The sequence below is a fragment of the Homo sapiens genome, chromosome 10, assembly GCF_000001405.40.
Source record: "Homo sapiens chromosome 10, GRCh38.p14 Primary Assembly".
Lineage (NCBI taxonomy): Eukaryota > Metazoa > Chordata > Mammalia > Primates > Hominidae > Homo > Homo sapiens.
Window position 1 is genome coordinate 48,248,475 of NC_000010.11, and position 20,901 is coordinate 48,269,375.

General features: G+C 40.9%; 1 protein-coding gene across 6 annotated transcripts in view; it reads right to left on the minus strand.

Annotated features, from left to right (window-relative positions):
- FRMPD2 (FERM and PDZ domain containing 2) overlaps positions 1–20,901 on the minus strand; it is a 118,337-nt gene that overhangs the window by 91,916 nt on the left and 5,520 nt on the right. For 3 of the 6 annotated variants that reach the window (NM_001018071.4, XM_047424652.1, XM_011539327.3), the window contains exons 2-3: positions 3,092–3,217; positions 547–704 (exon numbers count right to left, since the gene is read on the minus strand). In NM_001018071.4, coding sequence (NP_001018081.4) covers positions 547–704; positions 3,092–3,217 — 284 coding nt within the window. 6 annotated transcript variants of the gene reach the window in all.

Genomic DNA, 20,901 nt, shown 5'->3' on the forward strand with positions numbered 1-20,901 from the left:
TTTCTTTTCAATACATTAAATAAGCTTCTACAGCCTCATTTTAATGGTGTTTTGTCTCATGTCCTCTCCCACTCACTATTTAGCTTGTTTTCAATTTATCACTAACGTCAGCAATACAACAATCAGCATTGCTGCAGCTAAATTTATCTTTACTTGTGCCTTAGAATAAATTCCTAGTTGAGGACGTGTTGGGTCATTTTGAGGTGTCTTGCTACATACTGCCAATGGTAACAATGTGCCAGACCACTTAACCACAGCTTTTCAACACTTCTTTTTGAATATTGATAATAACCTGATCAATTAAGCCACATTAACCCCATTTTACCAATGTAGAAATTGGGGCTCAGAGAAGTGGACTTGCCCTTGTCCATGAGCTAGTAAGTTGTTGACAAGAAATCCTGGGAATAAAACTCTTGAAACCCACTCTGGCTTGGTGTTGAGAACCAAGCTCTGCAAGGCTGAGCTGGGAGCTGGGGAGGCTGCCGCTGGGACAGGCCTTTCCCAGGGCACAGGACTCAGAAGTTGCAGAGTAGCTGCACAGCTTACCTGAGATGCATCAGGCTGCTCATCCTCACTCTGTCCCTGTAGCAGTTCAGGGGCCTTGAAAGGAGCAGCCTCTATATGAGAAACACGGCCTTGGAAAGAAAGGCTTCCAGCTGCAGAAAGCAGGGCTGACCAGGGGCAAACCACATAGTCCGAGGAATCTGAAACCAAGCCAGTGATGGGGCTGTAGAGACAGAGCTTCCATCTGGGGTGCCAGCATGGGACTGTGCCCAGCAGGTGCCTGGCAGTACCCATCTCTGGGACTGAATGTGAGCAAGACCCAGAGGAGACATGGAACAGAATAAATTCAACCCTGATGCATGGGAACATGTATAATAAAAGGTGACTGTGGCCATGGCCAGGAAGTTAGCACCTGCACCTAAATTCATCTGTGGCCCAAGAGTCTCAAGGTAAAAGGTAAAGAGAGGGTCAGGCACACCTGGAATTTAGCACAAGCCTGAGTTCTCTAGAGACAGACCAGGATCCAAGGCAGCTGGTCTTCTGGGAGCTCCGTAGCTGTTCATCAGAACCTCCAGGGTGGGGAAGAGGGAGAAGATGACGCTGAAGGCACAGGTGCACAGCCTCCTCCATAGGCCCATGCTGGGACCCATCGCCCTCACAGAACATGTGTAATGTTTCACTCCAGGAGCCTCTGCTGTATGCACTGAAGCCCCCAAGCACGTGTGACCTGTGAGTTGACACCTGAGTGTGGGTACTCAGCATTTGTTCTGGACCTTAATGCCTAGGAGCCCCATAGTCATCCTTGGATACCGCTACCTTAGGTCTCTCCTGTACTGAGAGCACAGTGTGCAGCTTTCTCATTAGAGGGCTCTGAAGAGACACTATAGGAGGCCTTATTACTGAGAGCACAGTGTGCAGCTTTCTCATTAGAGGGCTCTGAAGAGACACTATAGGAGGCCTTATCTCTCCCACAGTTTCTGGAGTTAGTGCAAGTGTGAGGCCACCTGGAGGTTGGGCTCTGTACAGAACACATGCCCAGGATGTGAGGTCACTTGGCCACCTCAAGGCCGGAACTTGACATGTGACCACCTTCTCAAATCTACACAGGACTCTAGCGGCCCTCCTGCCCACACCAACCTCCAGAGAGGTGACTCGCCCGAGCCCACCTACACCCTAAAGGGTCGCCCCAACCCCCACCTGCAGTGCGTGCTCCCTACCTGGCCACCGGTGGCTATTGCCTGGGCCATGACTGCAGACCACCTCTGGCAGGGCACACCAGCAAATTCTACCATCATCATGGGCTGCAAGCACAGCTCCTCCCACAGATCTGAACCCCAAACAGGGAAGGGGGCTTCCCTTCAAAGTTTATCCCTCACTGGGTACCTGCCCTCAGCCTTAGGAGACCCACTAGCATTTTCTTTTTCTTTTTCTTTTTTTGAGACAGAGTTTCGCGCTCTTGTCACCCAGGCTGGAGTGCAATAGCGCGATCTCAGCTCAGTGCAATCTCTGCCTCCCGGGTTCAAGTGATTCTCCTGCCTCAGCCTCCCAAGTAGCTGGGATTATAAGTGCACGCCACCACGCCCGGCTAATATTTTGTGTGTGTATTTTTAGTAGAAACAGGGTTTCACCATGTTGGCCAGGCTGGTATTGAACTCTTGACCTCAGGTGATCCACCCGCCTCGGTCTCCCAAAGTGCTGGGATTACATGAGTAAGCCACCACACCAGCGTTTTCTTATGCCTTACAGTTGCTCTTCAAACACTGTTTAGTAATTCTTTCTATTAACCTCCCCTGTTTAGAACACAGAGTAGGTCTGCCTTTTTTTTTTTTTTTTTTTTGAGATGAGTCTTGCTCTGTTGCCCAGGCTGGAGGGCAGTGGCACAATCTTGGCTCACTACAACCTCTGCCTCCTGGGTTCAGGAAATTCTCCTGTCTCCGCCTCCCGAGTAGCTGAGATTACAGGCGAGCGCAACCATACCTGGCAAATTTTTTTTTTTGTATTTTTAATAGAGATGGAGTTTCACCATGTTGGCCAGGCTGGTCCCAAACCCCTGACCTCAGGTAATCTGCCCACCTTGGCCTCCCAAAGTGCTGGGATTACAGGTGTGAGCCACCGTGCCCAGCCAGGTCTGCCTTCTGATGGGGCACAGACTAGTGCAACATCTGGTGGACAGAGTGTAGGGGTGTCCTGGGTGACCACACCCTGCCTCTCATCTCTGGTTATGCCCAGAGACAGCCCATGTGCTGTTAGACACCCATAGCACTGCAGCCACTCTCTTCCTAAATCCTCCCAGCTTTGCATGCCTGGAAATGCTGCAACACCAAGGCAGAAGCAAAGCCTTTCTTTTGACTCTGCCACATGGCATGGGTCCAAGAGTCAGGCCTGCCCTCCCAGTGCAGCTCCAAGGATAGGTGCTATTCTTCTACTCATTCTAATACCTCAGAGTAATCACAGATCAAGCAGCAGCAACCTTGTTCTGTGCTCTCAGAGGTTGATTTAAAAAAGCAGCAGCAGCCAGAACTGTGTTTGTGTGGGAAGCTTCACATACAACTCCCTGTGATTTGACTGCCCCCAAACACTCTCTTACCGTTGCGGAGGTCTTCCAGGAGCTGCTCAGCGGCCAGGAACAGGAGGGACCAGATTTCCTCCTCAGACAGAGCTTCACCCCTGACCTGTAGGGCGCTGGCCAGCGTCACAGAGGACAGGCTCATGCCTACAATAAAGACATGCATGTGACAGGGCCTCTGCAATGTCCAGGAACATGTCCGGGCCCGTACTCGCCACTCTGGTGCAGCCAGGCATGGTCTGGCCACTACTGCACACCGGCACTGTGTTTTCAGCACCTGGGTCCCTGGGGTCAGGCACAGAGCCAAGCACACAGAGGAGTTAAAGAAATGTTAATTGGAGGACTGACCAGGTTGGCTGGTCGGTTCTCAGTGAATGAGTAAACAAACAATAAAACTCCCAAATGAAAGGTTAAATGAATAAATAAATGAACAACCAAATGAAACATGAGAACAGCACCTCCCAGCTGGGTGCGAGCTGTTGCAGAGAGTAACCTACACCTGGGTAGTGTGTGGCCTCCTCTCCTTCTCTCTCTGGAGAAGTTAGCTAACATTTTTGCCTGCAGTACGTGATTCACATCTTTCATCTCTGGCTGCCACATGTAGAGTCAGATTTGGTGCCAGTACCACCCCTTTCTCCAGCACCTGCCTGAAGTGCCAGAGCGACTCACTAGACAGAAGTATAAGCCCCATGTTTCAGAAAGGGGCAGCCTCACAGATAAACTGGAGGAGGCTCAAGAGGGCTAGTCTTCTCTTCCCTCTCTTCTGGTAAGCAGGGCCTTTAGACCAAAGCTGATGTTTAAATGTCTATCTCCCTGACAAAGCTGCCACCCACTAATCTCCAGAGACCCAGGTGCTGAGTGGCACCGGAAGAAGCCAGGCGGGCTTTTCCTAATCCATTTACATCCTCACTGATCTTTCTCTACAGCCAGAGCTCAAGCAGGGCGGGTGTGCAGTGTCGGGCGCTAGATGGGGAGCACATAGAGGCACCCCCATCCCCCATTGACACACTAATCCAAGATCTACTCCCCAGCTGCCCAGCTCCCTGCAGACACCTCTGCTACCAGCCTCCTCCAGCCTCAGGAAGAGAGGCTGGTTTCAGGAGAAAGAGGCTTGGTCTGCTACCTCTCCCTGGGGCAGAAAGGGAGCCGCAGCAGGACCCCCTCAGAAAGCTTGACCTGTGAGCCGTCACTTATCACAAGGAGTCTGTGAAGAAGGGAGTATTGTTTCCATTTACAGACAGGAAATAAGTCCAAGGTAATCAAGTAAAAAGTGATGAATTAGAAGCTGAACTCCAGGCCCTCTCTCTTTTTCTTTTCTATTTCTTTTCTTTTTTCTTTCCTTTCCTTCCTTTTCCTTTCCTTTTCTTTCGTTTTTTTATCTCTCCTCTCTCTTTAGAAACTGTTTGAGACTTATGGACTAGGCATTCCTATTCCACCACATTTTTCTAACTCTCTATAGCCACAGTGAAAGGTTGCTTATTAAAGATAAGAAGGGGGAAGAAGAAGACCATGATTCTTATACAAAAAATCTCTAAATCCCAAAATAAAATATTGAATGGGTGGGGTTTTTTAAATTGCTTTATGACTAGACAAAAATGCATTAAAAGTCTTCTAGGCTGGTGTGGATAGTGAAGACCATTATTTCAGTACAATAATTCAATGGAGGGAGGACAAACTTTTCAACAAATAGTTCTGGATCCATCATGGAAAAAAGCTGAACATGGTCCTAAACCTTGCACCTTATGCAAAAATTACTTCAAAATGAATCATAGATTTAATATAGAACATAAAACTATAAACTTTCATGGAGGAAAATGGGAGAAAATATTTAGGACTCATCACAAACAAGGACTGCCCAATAAAATGAACAGCTGATTTCTCATCAAAAACCATGGAGACCAAAAGGCAGTTGGATGACGTATGGTCTTAACTAGCCACACCAGCCTCAAACACTTAATGCATTTTTTTCTAGGCACAAAGCAGTTAGAAAAACCCCACCCAATATCAAAATACTTGGAGGGGAGACTGTCAAACAAGAATTTGGTAGACAACAAAGCAATCAATCCTTCAAAACTGAAAGAGAAATTAAGACCTATTCACATAAACAAAAATTGTGCAAATTTGTTGCTAGCACACCCTTCCCTCCGAGAAATCCTAATGGAGTCCTTCAGACTGAAATGAAAAGACACTAGACAGTAACTCAAATCCACATGAAGAAATGGGAGCACCCATAAAGATAATAACATAGGTAAATGTAAAAGACAATAAAAATGTATTTTGATTGGAACCCTTTTTTCTCCTATCAGAATTTTTTTAAAAGGAGCATCCAACATCTGGAAAAGCACATAACTGATCGGGTTTGCCAATCAAGCACCCTTCTTTTTGTTAAAGCTAAGAGTCACTAGAGGCTTGAAGTTGCTGTTTTTGTTATTGGACGTGTCAGGATCACAACTTCCATATCAAATATAACCATGATCCAGGAGTCAGTGACAGGAAATTACTCATCACCCTTTCAATTAAAAAAAAAAAAAGTTGTCATGCTTGTTCCAATGCACAAGCACGATCCCTCTACAGAAGGAAATGTGTGCATTCCAGTTTTCGGCACCAACTCCCTGCCTGACCAACCACAGTGTTACGGTGGAATGTTATGATCTGTCCGCAGTGGCAAGTTGGTTTCTGAAGAGTGCAGGAAGCCTGGGAACCATCCAGAGCTCTGAATTTCCCTGGCTGGCCTCAGGACTACAGTGTGGGTTATGAATAATCTGCAAGCTAGCAGGTAGGCCAAGATTTGTATCGCTGCTAGGCAAAAATGCAAATTCCTTTTCTTGACCTGAGAGGTCTGGCAGGCAGATGAGCCCTGCCCACCTCTCCAACTCCACTTCCCACCTCCCTGTCCCTTGCTTACCACCCTCACCGTGTTCCATCACACTGGGCTTGTGATAGATTATGAAGTAAGATAATTCTCTACACTAGCCCACCAGCCCTTAACAACCAGCCTGGACTCACAATTAACATTGTTATCTCTGTGTGATATTGTGAACACTATTTCAAAGCCCACTGCTACTTCCTTGAACGACAATACACTTCCATAGCATTTACTGTACGCCAGGCACTGTTCAGAGTGCTTTATGTGCTAACTCATTTAAGCTTCATGACAGCCTTCTGAAATAGGGCTATCATCATGCCCATTTTAAAGATGAGGAACAAAGAGGTTAAGTGACTTGGCCAGTGTCACACAGCTTGGACTTGGGTTTACGCTCTTGGTCTCAGAGGCAGAGCTCTTCCCCACCATATTATGCTGGCTGTGGAAATGCTGTGAAGCACTTTATGGGGCCTGTAATCTCAGGCTATGAAATAGTCATTAGCCTTTAGCCATCACACCAAGATGCCTCTGGGCTCCTCTCCAAGTTTTTCATGGTCTGGTGGGCTGTATCATGCACTGAAAAGGGGATCATTAACTATGTAAAGGATGCAGGGATCCCACTGCGTAGAGAGATCTGACAGTGAGGATGTTCTGGGAAAGCATCCAGTCAATGGGCATTTTGGGGGGGCCCCTCCACTACCCTTATCTCTCATACACCTTCCCAGATCTCACCTACATAGACTGACCCTCTATACTGACTCCACTATCTGAAGGCTTCGGGGCTCATCTAGTAGCATAGAAGTCTTCTTTGCCATTGGAGATCCCACTAGCCCATCCAGAAGCTTCTTTGGGCCCTTTCCAATGAGTTTCCAGGCTGAGGAGCATCCTGTTTGCCAGGACTTGCTTTTATTGGCCTTAGCCTGTAGCAGCCCCTCTCCCTGGCATGCCTCGGGCTAGAATCTTTTCCCTGCCCTTGATCTTTAGTGCTTCCACTTGGGCCTCCCTCTCCCATGTGCCATGGCAACAGCAGCCCTGAGCTTCATCTGTGAGGCTGTCCCTACAGCCTTCCCTCAGCCATTACCACATTTAATAAATACTCGTCAAGGATCTGGTATATTTCAAGCTCTGTACTACCAGTAGAATGAGGAACAATGTTAACAACCTACCCTGAGAGTCATGGGGATGGGCAGAGGGAGACAGCCAACGAGAAGGTAAGCAAATAAAATAATTCTGTAGAGTGATAGACTAATGAAGTAAGAATAGGCAATGCATGATAACAAGCTTTTGGTGTGGGGGACATCTTAGCTGAAGTGGTCAAGGAAGGCACTTCCAGGAGGTGTCACTGAAGCTGAGATTTGGAAGTTGAGAAGGCACCAGCCATGGGAAAAACTTCCCAGGTAGAGGGAAGAGCAAGCACAACAGAGTTTGGCAGATTCCAAGAACTGAGAGAAGCCCGCTCATGGTGAGGGAGGTGAGGGCGGTAAGCCAGGGGTAGGCAGGTGGGAGGTGGAGTTGGAGAGGTGGGCGGGTCCCATCTGCCCGCAGACCTCTTAGGCCAAGAAAAAGAGTTTGCATTTTGGCGTAGGAGCAGTATGAATCTTGGCCTACCTGCTAGTTTGCAGAGCACGTGCAACCCACACTGCAAAGCCAGGGAGAAGCCTTTTGACACTGGCCTGTGGCTGAGTATTAACTAGAAGGAAGGGAGAGTTCCAGAGGGCTGACTGCAAACACCTTAGCTTATCTGATCTTCACCAGTCCTGTAAGTGGAGATGGTTTTAATCAAGGGCAAAGCTCGCATCTGCTCCCTGCCCCCCCACCCAGGAAGAACCCTTGGGTCCCTGTCCCCTAGACAGCTGCCCAGTCAATCCCCGAGTGTCAGCTGCAGGGATCAGCCACCTCACCCGGGCGGCACACCGTATGCATTAGTTGCCAAGATATTTTGCAGCATTTGTAAAGTGCTGGCTTCTGAAGAAGTAAGGATCTCTGTTATCCCTAATTGTATATTGATTGACTGACTATATAGTGGCTTTTGAACTGTGAGATTTTGGTCACATTTCGGTATTTTGTCTTCATTCATCTCCCCTCCCCAACTCTCCATCAAGACACCATCCATGACCTCTGGCCTTCATCTGTGGCTGGTTAGCGAGATTGACAACCCTCTGGAATGCCCTGGAGACACTCCTGCATTGGGACAGAGGTTGGACCAAGGTCTCAGAGGTCCCTAAGGACCTTCTCAGCTCTGGAGCTGAAGGTGCCACTGCCCAGGAAGAGAAGGCATGGAACCAAGGGAAGCAGAGGAGGCCTTGCAGGATGGGGATGAGTCACACAACTCCTGGCCTCGTGGGTCAGGGGACCAGGCCACTGTCTGTCCTTGGAACACTCCTTGTTTCTCCAAACTCCTGGTTTGTCCTCACCTCCTCGGCATTCTTTCTCCCTCTCATGGTCCCTGAAATGTTGTCCCTCAGGATTCTATTTGAGGCCCTGTATGGTTTCCTGTGCCTTCTATAACAAATTACCACAAACCTCACAGACTAACACAAGATAAATTTATTATCTCACAGTTCCAGGAACAAGAAATCCAAAATCAGTTTGACTGGGTTGAAGTCAGGGTGTCCGCAGGACTATGGTCCCTCCACAGGCTCTGACGGAGAATCCTTCCCAGGCCTCCTCCAGCTTCTGCCATCTGCCCGCATTCCTCAGCTATGGCCACATCACTCCAATCTCTGCCTCTGTGGTCACATCGCCTTCTCCTCTTCTGTTTTAAATCTCCCAGTCTTTTTTTTTTTTTCTGCCTGTAACATTCACAGGTTCCACAAATCAGGATGTGGATACCTTTACGGTTTTTATTTTTTTATTTTTTTATTTTATTTACTTATTATTATTATTATTTGAGGCAGAGTTTCATTCTCTCGCCCTGGCTGGAGTGTAGTGGCGTGATCTCGGCTCTCTGCAACCTCCACCTCCCAGGTTCAAGCAATTATCCTGCCTCAACCTCCTGAGTAGCTGGGATTACAGGCTCCCACCATCACTCCAGGCTAATTTTTATATTTTTAGTAGAGATGGGGTTTCGCCATGTTGGCCAGGCTAGTCTCTAACTCCTCACCTCAAGTGATCCGCTCTCCTCAGCCTCACAAAGTGCTGGGATTGCAGGTGTGAGTCACCATACCCTGCCAACCTTTACCTTTTTTTAGAGGGAGGCTTTATTCAGACCACCCCAGGCTCTTTGTCTTTCAGCATTCTCTACCTGTTTGCCTGAAAAAGACATGAGCTTTGGGAGGTTGAATTCTTAGCTCCTTGACCCTGGGCACAGGGCACATACTTACCCCTCTGAGCCTCAGTCTTATCATCTGGTAAATAGGGCTAACAGCAGCAGCGACCTCATGGAACTGCCCAAGTGCTCAGCACATAAAAGGTGATGAGCACATCATATTTCCTGTCTCTTTTTGTCTCTGCTCCAACCATCCAGAAAGGGATTTTAAACATCAGGACTGCTGAGCAGCTTCCAACTATGGGATTTTTAAGATATGGTGTTAATTGTTTCCATCTGTCTGCCAGGGTTGAGGTGCTATAAACATCCCATTTTCAACCTTAGCAAAATGCCTCAAATATCTCCATGACACCCTAGGAAGGAACCAGGAAGAATGTGGGACTCCCAAGGAATCGAAGCTCTCAGAGCGATCTTTTCCTCTCTTCTCCTTTTGTTCCTTCGGTCTCTCTTCATTCCTTCTCCCTCTGGACATTTATTAAAAACCATCTGCCCACAGTCAGAACCAGAGATCTGAACAAAACTTGCCAGAAGGCAAACTGCATTTTTCCCCTGAAGGAGGAAAAGACTATCCTGCCTCTGCTAGGCCCTAGTTAAAGAGTTAAAGGTGTCAAGGCTCTTATCTTCTGGAATTCTCTCACAGTCAGCTTCCCAGAGCCTGACCTTGAGTGAGTGAGTGATGCTGACATTGCATCACTATCACCTTCTCCACACAGACCCTTCCCTGCCCTGTTTTCTACCCCACAGCCCCTGATTTAAATAGTGGCTACAGCACTGACACAGTATGACCTTGAACAAGGACACTCTTCACATCTCATTTACCCATCTACAAAACGGAGATGCTGACTCCTACCTTACAAGGTGGGTGTGAAAAACAGAACAAGCTAATGCAAGAAAGGCAACTAGAGAACACCCTACCACTCTTCAGGATTCCAAGGTGGCATCTTGCATTCGTAGATGAGAGGATGCACACTAGTACAGAGAAATATTTTTCGGCATTCAGAGCATTTTAGAGTAGTGTTTCTCCCATCTTCAATCTTTTACATCCCGTTTTCCCAGTGTTTGCCACATTCCCATCTCACTTGTACAATTAAGACAAGTTTTTTCATTTAAATGCATTTATTTTAAAAGGATACTACATATCATTATAGTAAATGGAAAGTTAGTATCATCAGATGTAAATAGAAGGTAATTATAACTATTTTATAAAAATTATTGAATTATTGCCAAATAAAATTGCCTTCAAAAGGCTCTGAGCCTGGGCATGATTTTTCATTATGAAAGAAGCAATTAGTTTTAGAAACATGTAAAGTCTATTTCTGAGCAGACTGTCTTCTTGACATAATCTGAAAAATTGAAGTAAAATGTCAAGAGCATCATTCAATGTTATTAATGCAGTCATGTTCCACCTGGGTTCCATGGCCCCACCTGTCCTTCTCTAAGGCTTCAGGGCCAGTTACAATGTAATGTGACCGCAGTGTGTATTAGTTGAATCCTCACCAATTATACTTGATGATAATTACTTCTAAGGAGAGTAGCCCTTTACAGCTTACAGAGTTTTCATAAACTTCTGTGATTCACACAAAAATCCTTAAAAATAAAAAGGCAAAAACGATCCCCACTTCCAGATGAGTAAACTAAGAATTTAATTGACTTAAGGTCACAAAAGCCACACAGCTAGTAAATTTAAATTTCTGCAAAAGTGGAAGGCTGGGGTTTTGAGCTAACAAGACTAATTAAAGCTATATGGGTTTAAATTGGTCTTCAATTTATTAAAGTTCTGAATTTAAAAAGCAACTTTGTCTCGAACCTTTAAATTTAAAGTATTATGCGCTATTAATCTAGTGACTTGTATATAAGAAGAACGATTTCACATGATGTTTGATTAATATGTAATGTATTCTTAATCTGTTGGTGATCTCCAGAGAAACAGAACCAGTAGTACATGAATGTGTGTGTGTAAGTGTGTGTGTGTGTGTGTGTGTGAGTATACACACATACACATTTTTTTTTTAATCTTAAGAAGAAGGAAGCTAAGGTCATAGCCTGGGGTAATAGACTCACTATTCATAGACTTATAGAGCAAGTACATACCCTTTTCTCCCACCTTATCACCTCATCACCAGGACTCCTGCATAAGAACAGCAGATGACAGCTAAAGAACAGCAAGGCCCAGATTCTACTTAAGAAGGAGTTTCTAGGAAAAGGTAAAGACAAGAAGGGAGAGAAAAACAAGAACAACAGAAAAAATTGAAGTCTCAGATACCTACTGTATTAGGGTTCTCCAGAAAGACAGAACCAATAAGATGTATAGATATAGATATAGATGTAACCAATATATAATATTGGACAGGATATCCAAGAACTGTGGAACAATTACAAAAGGTATAACATATGTGTAAAAGGACACCAGAAGGAGAAAATGGAAAAGAGTAGAAAAATATGTGAAACATTTAAGGTAATAATGGCTAAGAATAGATAGATAGATTGATAGATAGATAGATCTATATATATATGTAGATAGATAGATCTATATACATATATGTATAGATAGATATAGATAGATATCTTATATATTATAGAGGCTGAGAAGTTTTACAATCTGCTATCTACAAGCTGAAGACCCAGGAAATGCAATGGTATAATTCAGTCCAAGTCTGAAGGCCTAACAACCACAGAAGCCAATGATGTAAATCCCAGTCCAAGGGCAGGAGATGAGATGAGATGTCCCAGCTCAAGCTGGGTAGGAAAAAAGGGATGAGTGTCTCCTTCCTGTGTCTTTTGTTCTATTACAGCCCTGAATAGATTATATGATGCCTGCCCATAGCACAATTCAAACTCTGATCTCTTCCAGAAATACCCTCACAGACACGTTCCAAAATAACATTTCATCTGGGCAGCCCATGGCTTCATTAAAATTGACACATAAAATTAATTATAATACCTACAGCTATAGCAAACAGTAAACACAGCACTACTACTAGCCAGATAATCATAAATGCTCTCACTAAAGGTCTGTTTATCTCAGTTCCTATTACCCCATACATCATGTCCAGCTTTCAACAAAAAATTACAAGTCATGTATAAAAACAACAAAAAACTCAGTTTAAAGAGATAAAACAAGTGAAAGAACCAGACTCTGATATAGCAGAAATCTTGGGATTATCATACCAGAAATGTAAAATAACTATGATTAATATGCTAAGTGTTCAAATGGAAAAGGTGGGGCAAGATGCAAGAATAGATGGGTAAAATGTAAGCAGAGACATGGAAATTCTAAAAATAGAAAATTTCTTAAAAGTTAGCAATCAACAGCATTGCAAGAGAAATGAAGAATGCCTTTGGTGGGCTCATCCAGTAGATTAGACACCTTCAAGGAAAGAATCAAGGAGCTTAAAGATGTGTCAGTAGAAACTTCCCAAATGGAAATGTGAAGAAAACAAAGAATGAAGAAAAATGGAACAGAATATCCAAGAACTGTGGAACAATTTCAAAAGGTGTGACATATGTGTAAGGGAATACCAGAAGGAGAAGGTGGAAAAGAATAGAAAAAATTTGAATAATGGCTGAGAATATTTCAAAATTGATAACAGACACCAAACCACAGATCTAGGAAGCTTGGAAAGCATCAAGCAAGATAAATAAAAAAAACACATGTAACCCTAAACTTAAAAGTTAAAAAAGCAAAAATAATGGTAAATTAATATTCCCCAGCAAAAAAAAGTGAGAGAGAGAGAAATGTAACTTACATATATAGCAGAAAAAGGATAAGAATTACAATGGGCTTCTCTTCACAAACTGTTCAAGTAAAAAGATCGTAGGACGTAATATTTAAAGTGTAAAAATAAAAAAACTACCAATCTAGAACTCTGTATACTGCAAAGTTAACATTCAAAGTGAAAAGAAATAAGACTTTCTCAGACAAACAAAACTTCTGAGTATATTGGTCACCAGTAGGCTTGCCTTGCAAGAAATTTTAAAAGTTCTTCAGAGAGAAGGAAAATGATACAGAAGAGAAACTCAGATCTTAAGCCATTTATTTCCCTTATTCTTAATTGATCTAACAGATAACTGTTTTTCAAATTATAATAGCAACAACATCTTGGGTGATTATGCCTTATAAATAAGTAAAATAAATGCCAGTCAGTTATAAAGGCTGGAAGGGAGAAACGGGTATTACTCTGTAATATGTACCTGTACTACACATGAGCTATTTGAAAGTGGATTTAAATTTGTTGTAAATGTATACTGCAAACTCTAGAGCAACTACTAGAAATATTTTTTAAAAGAAGTATAACTTACATGCCAAAATAATATAAAATGCTCAATTACAACTAGAGAAGGCAGAAAAACACGGGAAGATCTTAAAAAGAAACAAAAACCAATTGCAACAAATAGAAAACAGTTATAAATATGGTGGCTATTAATCTAACAACATCAATAATCACTTTAAATATAAAGGTCTAAGTATGCCAGTTAAAAGACAGAAACTGACAGAGTAGATTAAAAAATAAAACCCAGTTATGTTGTCTAGAAGAAATCCCCTTTAAATATGAAGGCACAAATAGGTTAAAAGTAAAGGGAAGAATAAAAAGATTAATTTTAAGAAAACTAAAAGGATGTAGACAGATATACTATGCTAACACAAATTAAAAGAAAGCTGGAGTAACCATCTTAACTTCAGACAAAGCAGACTTCAGAATAGAGAAAATTATCAGGAATACAAAGGGGTATTACATAATGATAGAGGTCAATATTCCAAGAAGACATAACAATCTCTGATGCATATGCACTTAACAACAGAGCATCAGAATACATGACATAAAAACTGGTAGAACTGCAAGGAGGAATAAACAATCTACTATTATACCTGGAGACTTCAGCACCCCTCTATCAGGGATTAACAGATCCAGCAGACAGAAAATCAGTAAAGACGTAGTTAAACTAGACACACTGCCAAAGAACTGGATCTAGTTGATGGCTGTAGGCTATTTTATCCAACAACAACAGAATGCATATTCTTTGCAGTTTCACATGGAACACTCACCAAGATATATCACATTTTGGGCCATAAACTTTATTGATTTATTTATTTATGTTTATTTATGTATTTATTTTTTGAGACAGGTTCTTGCCCTGTTGCCCAGCCTGGAGTACAGTGGTGCAATCTTGGCTCACTAGTAACCTCCACCTCCTGGGTTCAAGCAATTCTCGTGCCTCAGCCTCCCAAGTAGCTGAGATTACAAGTTTAAAAGTACAGAAATCATACAAAGTATGATTTCTCTCATGGAGATTTGGTTCTGTCAGTAGAACCAAACTGCAAATCAATAACAGAAGGATAGCCAGAATATCCTCAACTATTTGGAGATTAAACAACACACTTCTAAACAGCAAATGGGTCAAAAAGGAAATCTCAAGATAAAATAAAAAATATTTTTAACTAAACAAAAATGAAAATACAAGTTACCAAAATTTGTGAGATGCAATGAAGGAAGTACTTATACAGAGACTTCTAACATTAAATGCATATATTAGAATAGAAGAAAGATCTAAAATTAATAATCTAACCTTCCACCTTTAGTAAACTACAGAAAAAATAACAGCATGAACCTGAATAAAAGAAAGCAAATAATAACAAATTAGAACAGAAATCAATAAAATTGAAAACAGAAAAACAATAGAGAAAATCAACAAAACTAAAAGCAGATTATTTGAAAACAACAACAAAACTGATAAACCCATAGCCAAGTAACCAAGAGAGAAAAAAAAAGAGAGAAGATGTAAATAACTAAAATCACAAATGAAATAAGGGCCATCACTACTGATCCCATGGATATTAAAAAGGATAATATGCCCACAAATGTAATGACTTAGATGAAACGGACCAATTCCTTGAAAGTGAAAATCTATCAAAACTCATACAAAGAGAAATAGATCATCTAAGTATGCCTATACGTATTACATAAATTGAATTAATAATTAATGGCCTTCCAAAACATAAAGCACCAGGCCCAAAGGATTTCACTGTTAAAGTCTACCAAACATTTAAGGAAAAGATGACGCTAATTATCTGCAATCTCTTCCAGAAAATAGAAGCAGAGGGAACATTTCTTAATTCATTCTATGAGGCCATAATTGTCCCAATACCAAAACCAGATAAAAATCTTGCAAGAAAGTAAAACTACAGATCAATAGTTTTCATGAACAAGGATGCAAAACTCTTCAAAATATTAGCAAATCAAATCCAACAATGTATAAATATAATCATACACCATGACCAAGTGAAATTTAATTCAGGTATGCAAGGCTGGTGTGAAAATTTATTAATGTAACCCACCACTTTCATGGACTAAAGAGAAAAATTATATAATCAAATTTATTAATACAGAAAAAGCATTTAACAAAATCCAACAGCAAATCATGATTAAAAACTCTCTGTTAACCAGGAATAGAAAGAAACTTCTTCGACTTAATCTTTTTAAAATATGTAAAAAAAAAAATCTACGGCCAACACATGACCTAAGGGTGTGAAACTAGATGTATTCCTGCTAAGATCAGGAAAAATACAAAGATGTCCCCTCTCACCATTGGAAGTCCTAGCTAATGTAATCAGACAAGAAAAGGAAATAAAAGGTATATAAATTAGAAAAAAAGAAATAAAGTTATCTCTGTTCCGAGATGATATGATTGTCCATGTATGAAATCTCAAATAATGAACAAAAAACCTCCTAAAACTAATAAGTGATTATAGAAACATTGCAGGACAAAAGGCTAATACACAAAACTCAACTGTTTTGACTTTAATTAACATCAGCAATGACAACTGAAATGTGAAATTATAAACACAATATCAATTATTATATTAACACCAAAAAATTTTGAAGTATGTAGAAATAAACCTAACAAAATATGTATAAGATCCCTATAAGGAAAACTACAATATTCTGATGAAAGAAATAAAAATATTTGTTTTAAATATTTTTAAAATCTAAATAAAGGAAGAGTATTCTATGTTCACTGAGAGAAGACTCAATATTGTTAAAATGTCATTTATTCTCAACTCGGTCTGTAGATTTAATCCCAGAAATTTATTTTGTGAATATCAACAACTAATTCTAAAGTTTAAATGAAAAGGGAAAACAAGTCACCTAGAACAGACAACACAATACTGACGAAGAGAAACAAAGTTGTAGGACTGATCCAACTATCCAACTTCAAGAGTTACTATACCAAGGCAATCCTATACAAAAAGAACAAAGCAGGAAGCATCAAGCTACCCAACTTTAAACTACACTACTGGGCTACAGTAACCAAAACAGCTTGGTACTGGTACAAAAACAGACACATAAACCAATGGAACAGAATAGACAGCCCAGAAATAAGGCCACACACCTACAACTATCTGATCTTCAACAAAGCTGACAAAAACAAGCAATGAGGAAAGGACTTCTTATTCAGTAAATGGTGCTGGGATAATGGCTAGCCATATGCAGAAGATTAAAACAAAACTCCTTCCTTAAACAATTATATAAAAATAAACTCAAAATGGATTAAAAACTTAAATGTAAGACCCAGAACTATAAAAACTCTGGAAGACAAAACCTAGGCAATACCATTCTGGACACAGGCACTGGCAAAGATTTTATTACGATGATGTCAAAAGCAATTGCAACAAAAGCAAAACTTGAAAAATGGAATCTAATTAAACTAAAGAGCTTCTGCACAGCAAAATAAACTATTAGTACAGTAAACAGACAACCTACAGAGTAGGGGAAAATATTTGTAAAATATGCATCTGGCAAAGGTCTAATATCCAGCATTTATAAGAAACTTAAGGAAATTCATAAGAAAAAAACAAACAACCCCATTAAAAAGTGGGCAAAGGATATGAACAGACACTTTTCAAAAGAAGACATACATGCAACCAATAAGCATATGAAGAAAAGTTCAATATCACTGATCATTAGAGACATGCAAATCAAAACCACAATGAGATACCATCTCACACTGGTCAGAATGGCTATTAATAAAAAGAAAAAATAACAGATGCTGGTGAGGTTGCAGAGAAAAGGGAATATTAATACATTGTTGGTGGGAGTGTAAATTAGTTCAACCATTGTGGAAATCAGTGTAGAAATTCCTCAAAGAGCCAAAACCAAAACTACCATTTGACCCAGCAATCCCACTACTGGGTATATACCCAAAGAAATATAAATCGTCGTATCATAAAGAAATACGCATGTGTATATTCATTGCAGCAGTATTCACAGTGGCAAAGACATGGGATCAATCTAAATGTCCATCAATGGTAGACTGGATAAAGAAAATGTAGTATATATACACCATGGAATATTATGCAGCCACAAAAAAGAATGAGATAATGCCCCTTTCAGGAACATGGTTGGAGCAGGAGACCATTATCCTTAGCAAACTAACACAGGAACAGAAAATCAAATACTGCATGTTCTCACTTATAAATGGGAGCTAAATGATGAGAACATATGGACACAAAGTGGGAAACAACAGACACTGGGTCCTACTTGAGGATGAAGACTGAGAGAAGGGAGAGGAGCACAAAAAATAACTATTGTGTCCTAGGCTTAGTACCAGGTTTATAATATAATCTGTACAACAAACCCTGGTGACACGAGATTTCCCATATAACAAGCCTGCACATGTACCCCTGTACCTAAAATAAAAGTTTAAAAAGTAAAATAAAAAATAAAAACTTCTAATATGCATTCTTCAATTTAAAAAAGAGAAAAAAGAGTTATTATAGGGTATATTAATCAAGACAATGTGATGTTGGTGAAAGAATACACGAATAGATTAAAGGGACAAAATAGAGTCAAAAAATAGACCAATACATATACATTTAACTGATCTTTGACAAAGGAGCAAAGGCAATTAGTCTTGAGATAGTCTTTTCAACAAATAGTCAGCAAGGGCCTAGGGAGAGCCCAGACATTACACTCATCCAGCTACAATGAGGCACAGTCATTTCTTCCACACAGTCAGTTCAGAGAAGGCCAAGTGGGAGCTGAAACTCTCATTCCCACCTAGTGGTGACTTGCGTCACACCCTAGACTTCCACTTTCCTCTGGTGATAACAAGATGCCCCTTGGCCTCCCCACGGGGGTGGTGCCAGGGAAGGTGTAAGAGAGGGTCAGTACTTTTACCACCATGCAGTGGTAACAAGGCATCCCCTGACGTGTTGCATGAGGAGCAGTAATAAGGTGTCCCCGACCCTCCTAGCAAGGGTGGTGTCAGCAGAGGACTAGAGGGGAGCCAGAACAGTCACAACAAGATGCCCTCAAGGTTATCAAGAGAGACTGAGTGGGGGGTCTAGACTTCCATTTTTACCCGGAAGTAATGAAGCAGAGCCCTTCTGTCCATACAGTATCAGGGAACATCTGCTAAAAATGAAGCTCTAAGTAAGGTCCAGAGTCTCATATCATAGTACCCAAACATCTTGGATTCAGTCGCTATTGCTCATCATATCAAAAACCAGGAAAATCTCAACTTGAGTAAAAAAGACAACAGAAGCCAGTACCAAGATGATTCAGATGTCAGAATTATCTGACCAGGATTTTCGTGAGCAATGACAAGCACAATAAAAACAAAGACATAGAAAGGCTCAACAAAGAAATATAAAGAACCAAATGGAAATTTTAGAACTGAAAAATACAATAACCAACATTAGAAACACTATGGGTGGGCTCAACAGCAGAATGGAGAAGACTGAGTAGAGAATCCACGGATTGAGAAGAGAACAAGAGAAATGACCCAATCGGACAACAGACATCAAAAGACATTTCTGTATCAAAGGGCATTATCAAGAAACTGAAAAGACAATCCACGGAATGGCAGAAAATATTAAATATTGGCAAATCATCAATCTGATAAGGGTCTAGTAACTGGAATACATGAAGAACTCCTACAATTCCTTAACAAAAACACCAACAATCCAATTTCAAAATGGGCAAAGGACTCAAATAGATATTTCTACAAATAATATATGTGAATGTTCATAGCAACATTATTTATAACCAAAAAGTGGAAACAACTCAGTGTCGATCAAGGGATGAATGGATAAACACAATGTGGTCCATCCATACAATGGAACATTACTCAACCATAAAAAGAAATCAAGTACTGATACATTCTACAGCATGCATGAACCTTGAACACGTTATGCTAAAGTGAAAGAAGCCAGATGTAAAAGCCTACACATTGTGTAATTCCATTTATATGAAATATCCAGAATAAACAAATCCATAGAGGCAGAAAGTAGGTTTAGGTGCCATGCTTAATATGGAGTACTCACATGTAGGATGTCTACAAAGAAGTTTCAAAACTTAACAGCAGAAAGCAAACAATCCAATTAGAAAAATGAGCAAATGGCATGGAAAGACATTTCACTGAAGATACACACATCGCAGATAAGCACATGACAAGATGTTCAACATCACTGGCCATAAGGGGAAGGCAAATGAAGTCTATAATGAGATATCCCTCCCCACCTATATGACAGGAAAAAAAAATAAAGTGACAATACCAAATGCTTATGAGGATACAGAGAAACTGGATCTCTTCTAAGTTGATGGTGGGAATGTAAGTGGTACAGCCACTTCAGAAAAGAGTTTGTCAGTTTCTTTTTAAAAAAGAGAAAAACTAAACATACTCTTACTATACAACTGAGCAATTGTGCTTCTGTGCACTTATCCCAGAGGAAAAAAAATGAATATCCACACACAAAGCTGCATGTGAACGTGTGTGTTTTATTTGTAATAGCAGCTTTATTTGTGATAGCCAAAAACTGTTAAGTCAAAATGTCTTTCATTTGGTGAATGGTTAAACAAATTGTGGTATATTCATACCATGGAATACTACTCAGCAATAAAGAGCAAACTATTGATACGTGCAACAGCTTGATTAGATCTCAAGGGCATTAGGCTGAATGAGAAAAACCAGTCTCAAAAGGTCACAGCTTGTGAGACTGATCTCAGAGATAGTAGAAGCAGGGTGGTAGGGAGTAGAATGGGAGCTGGGGGAGATCTTTGTGGCGATAGAATAGTTTTGTATCTTGATTGTGGTAGTGGTTACATAAATCTACACAAGTATTACAATGGCATAGTACTTTACACACATATTGTACCAATGTCAAATGTCTGGGTTTGCCATTGTGCTGTAGTTAGGTAAGATATAATCACTGGGGGACACTGGAGGAAGAGTATAGGGACTTCTCTGTGCTCTTTGCAACTTCTTTGCAACTTTTTATCTGACCATATATGAAAATTAAATGTAAACAAAAATATGCAACAGATTAGGAGAAAATATATATAATGGCAAAAGGGTTACTATTTACTCATCAATTAGAAAAAAACAACTCTTTAATTTAAAAGTTAAGAAATAAACAGGTGAAAAAATACAACTACTCAATAAATATTTGAAAAGATTTGCTGTGTTTCTAGTAAATCAGGGAAAACAAAACAGCAATGAGAATTTATCAAGAGGGTCAAAAATTTAAATATTTGATGTTAGCAAGGTGGGGGCTGCAGACCAGGCCCTCTCATAACACCCATTAACATGGGAATTAAATTGGTATAGATTTTTCAGAGCCATCTATCAAAATTGAGAACATGTATTTGCCAAGTCCCAGCAATGCCAATTCTCTGCCTCCTAGGGAACATTTCTAAGCAT